This window comes from Homo sapiens, chromosome 11 (assembly GCF_000001405.40).
Source record: "Homo sapiens chromosome 11, GRCh38.p14 Primary Assembly".
Classification (NCBI taxonomy): Eukaryota; Metazoa; Chordata; class Mammalia; order Primates; family Hominidae; genus Homo; species Homo sapiens.
The window spans coordinates 59498956-59503575 of NC_000011.10; the positions used below are offsets into that span (position 1 = coordinate 59498956).

The 4620-nt window shown below is 38.9% G+C and overlaps 1 non-coding gene across 1 annotated transcript; it reads left to right on the top strand.

Annotated features, from left to right (window-relative positions):
• LOC124902818 (U6 spliceosomal RNA) lies at positions 1–111 on the top strand. The gene has a single exon (XR_007062997.1). It is a non-coding gene; the product is annotated as a U6 spliceosomal RNA (small nuclear RNA).

Here is a 4620-nt window from a genome sequence, read left to right on the forward strand (position 1 = left end):
GCTTGCTTTGGCAGCACATACTAAAATTGGAACAATGCAACAATGTAGAGGAGATTAGCATGGCCCCTTTACCAGGATGGCACGCAATTTAGTGAAGCGCTACATAAAAATAAAAATTTTAAATTTAAAAAAATGGTATCATCTAATGCTAATGGACAATAGTGAAACCCAGCAAGTCCTGTCTGTTTAGATCTTATTTGGCCTCTCTGTGCAGCAATTCCTTGCTCCTGGGTATGAGGCAGTGCTCGCTCTCTCTCTCTCTCTCTCTCTCTCTCTCTCTCTTTCTCTCTCTCTGTCTCTCTGGAATGGGGTTCTTATGACCTACAGTCAAACAAAGTAGACCTGAGAATTTATTTATGACCCACTCTTACACAGAAAGGTGGAGTCACAGGGAAGTTAGAAAAATATGTTTAGGTTTTATAGCTGGCTTTGGAGAAAAGGGGTTCTGGTTTCCATGACCCGCCTTAGGGAAGAGATATTGTAGTTTCTACAGCTAACCTTGGGGAAGAATGAAGTACCAGCCACCTGACACAGGAAGGCAGGAGGAGGTCAGAGAAAAACTTTTACTTCTGAGGCTACTTCTGAGGCCTTCATTATAGGGTATTGTTTTCTGAAACCTTATGATAGCAATGATTTTCTTTTCTCTGTCTTTCCATGCTGTCATGTTTGCACCCTTTCTTTCCAGTCAAACTTCCCACTCATTAGCAACTTTCATATATTTAAATAGTCCTGTAAGGCCAGAATGTCCTTTCTCCCCGTTCCTATATGTCCCAAATGTAAACACCACTTCCTCCATACAGCTTCACTGAGCCTCTTATTTGGAAATCATCCTCTTTTCACACTCAGCTCTTCATCTGTCCTTAAATTGTCCCCATCACTCCCATGTAACTATTAGATTTCAATGCTTTTCCCACTGTATTTAGATTATATTCCTTTCTCTCAAATAACCTAGAACTCTTCCCATACTCCATCAATATTTGCTAAATAATTGGATAGATTAAAAGTAGCAGAAGGGTGGAGCAGAAGCTAGGGGATGTTGTCTTTAAATTACCAAAGGCAGTTTGTGAACATGAGACCTATTTCTTTCAGACCAATAGTCCTGGCCTGGGGTCTGGGATATGGTTTACCTTCCACCCATGTGTGTGTAAACAATGTGCTGTTTACATGGGGGTCCCTTTGAAGAGCTTAATAACTAAATTGGTTTTCTTCACATCTCTAGTAACCATACTGAGTTGGTGTTCCTAGTGACCATTTCCTCTCTCTTTAAGCTAATCAGGATTGATAACTACCATTTAGTTCAATACACTCCATTTACTGATGAGGCTTCACTGTTAGGGTTACCCAGCATAGCACTAATCACGACAGATAACCAGCCCATATGCTGAGAAGAGTACACAAGTTAATTCTCCAACCCTCTTAACTTCCCTGTGAGGTGAGTATTATTATTATCCCCATCCTACAGATGAAAAAATAGAGGCTCAATGAGGTTATGCACTTGCCCAAATCACACAGTGGCAAAGCCAGGACTTGAACCCAGATGAGTCTTGATCCCAGAGCCCTTGCACTGAACAATTTCTCTGGTCTGCTAATAAGATGTCAGAGAAGAAGCCAAACCAAGCAAGTGCTCTTTTTACTGTCATACACTGTCACGACTCTCTGGGTCACTGGAAGGCAAATATCTCCTAATTCCTTCAAAACAGCAAATGTTCTGATGAAGTGGTTGAGGACACACGTGTGGGAAACATGCAGCTCCTCTAAAAGAATGTCCATAAATATATTGGAGATATATTTATTGAAGAAGCTGTGTGTGGGAATTATTAACCTGGAGTTGTCTTTAAGGTAGCACACATATAATTACACTTATTACAGATTAGGCAACGCTCTAAGTACTGATGCTCTACATAGATTAACTTATTTAACCCTCACAAAAGTCTAATGAAGGAGATGCTATTGTCTCCAAATTACTGATATAGAGAATGAGGTCAAGGGATGAAGCAATTTGCTCATGTTAGCACAACCAGTAAGTACTCAGCTGGGATTTGAACAGGCTGCGTGGTGCCAGAGTCTAGTAGGCATCTACCTCGAAGGTAGAATACTTCTTGGCAGCTTGTTTTCGGATTTACCCATTAAATAGATTTTGGACAAAATTGCCTAGAGAGGAAAGAAAACTTGAAGACAAAGCGAGCTAAGTGAGAAGAAATATCTTCATTTAAATTGGAGAACACACCCAAAGAACGGGAAAAAAGGGACTTTTGCCCTTCATTTGTTTCTAATTATGGAAAGAAAAAGGAGATAAACTAGGAAGAAAGAAAATAAGGCCCATTACAAAGATTTACCAAAAAAAAAAAGAAAGAAAGAAAGAAAGGAATTCAAAAGCAACACAGTTATAAGGTAAGTGTATGTGTAACAGTTTTTTAAAAAATTGCCAGCCAGGCGCGGTGGCTCATGCCTGTAATCCCAGCACTTTGGGAGGTCAAGGCGGATGGATTACCTGAGGTCAGGATTTCAAGACCAGCCTGGCCAACATGGTGAAACCCTGCCTCTATTAAAAATACAAAAATTAGCTGGGCATGGTGGTGGGAGCCTGTAATCCCAGCTACTCAGGAGGCTGAGGTGGGAGAATCGCTTGAACCTGGGAGGCAGAGGTTGCTGTGAGCCAAGATTGTGCCACTGCACTCCAGCCTGGGTGACAGAGCAAGACTCCATCTAAAAAAAAAAAAAACTGCCAAAATATTTTCAAATTGATTGTACCATTTTACATTCCTACTGGAGTTCCATTGGTCTACATCTTTGTCCACTCTTGATATATCAATCTTTTTCATTCCAGTGACTCTAATGTATACTATTTTTAAATTACAACGTGGTTTCAATTTATATTTTCTCAGTGATAAATGATGTTGAGCCTTTTCATGTGCTTATTTGCTCTCTCTGTGTCTTCTTGCTGAAGTGTCTGTTCAAATAATTTGTCCTTTTTTCTCTTCTTTTTTTTTAACTTCTTTTAGTGACTTCATTTTGTTAAAATAATTTGTCCTTGTTGCTTAATTGGTTGTTTGTTCTCATACTATTGAATGTTAAGAGTTACAGCCATTCCACTCCTAGCTACTTACCCAAGAGAACTGAAAACATATGTCCACACAAAGACCCAAATGTGAATGTTCATAGCAGCTTTATGAGTAATATTCAGAAGCCACAAATAACCCAAATGTTCACCTACAAGTGAGTGGATAAGCAAACTGTGGTATATTCATACAATAGAAAGGAACAAAATAGCAGTACACACAAAACAACGGATGAATTTCATGGTTGAAAGAAGGCAGACAAGAAGAAAATACAAATAGTAGAATTTCACTTATAGAATATTATAGAAAATACAAACTAATGTATAATGACAGAAAGCAGATCAGTTGTTGCCTGAAGAAGGAAGGGTAAAGGGGACAGGCTACAAAGGGGCACAAGGACATTTTCTGGGTGATAGATATATTCACTCTCTTAACTATAGAGATGGTGTCACAGGTATATATGTCAAAACTTATCAGCCGGGAGCAGTGGCTCATGCCTGTAATCCCAGCACTTTGGGAGGCCGAGGTGGGTGGATCACAAGGTCAGGATTTCGAGACCAGCTGGGCCAATATGGTGAAACCCTGTCTTTACTGAAAATACAAAAATTAGCCAGGCGTGGCGGCACACGCCTTTAATCCCAGCCACTCAGGAGGCTGAGGTGGGAGAATCACTTGAACCTGGGAGGCAGAGGTTGCAGTGAGCCGAGATCACGCCACTGCACTCCAGCCTGGGCGACAGAGTAAGACTCTGTCTCAAAAAAAAAAAAAAACATTATCGAAGTGTGAATTCAAATATGTGCAGTCTATGGTATGTCAATGATAGCTCAACAAAAATTATTTTTTAAGAAAGAAATTGAAACAACAGAAGAGAAGCTCTGAGTAATATTTTTATTTCCATTGCTAAGGAGCTATTCACCACCCCGGGGTTTCAGTACCTAAAGTAGATTAAAGTAAAGAAAGAAACAAAGCAGTCCCCTTAAAGAAGAATAGAGCAATAGAAACAAATTTTATGGCTTAAACATTTTCTAATTTTTCATGGAAATAAGTTTGTGATTTAAGAAGAGAGGGGTGCTGCTTCCATACAATTCAATCCAGTGGGGGGCCTCTTTGCAGACAGGGGTTCTTAGAACCATTTAAATGGAGCATCCAGTCTGGGAAAAAACAACAAAATCCTCAGCCCTGTGAAACTCAAGGTGTTCTAGTCACACAAAGTAAGCACTGCCTTATTCTCACAACAAACTAATCCCATTTTTATATTTCCCATGCCACAATAGTCTCTTTCTAAATAATTAATATCCCCCTCTGTTTATCTTGAATAATGTCCTAAGTATCTTGAATAACTGCAACATTATTTTTATACATTTTTTAAAATTGTAATTTATATAAGTGTATGCATGATTGTATAATAAGATGTCATTTTACATGCATTGGCAATAAACTTGAAATTGTAATATCTCACAAGTTTTCAGACCTAATACTTGAATCTGTTAAGAGAGAGTAAACACTTTCTGAAATAACATTATTTTTTCCAAGATATTCAGGAAAGAGAAAACATGATTCA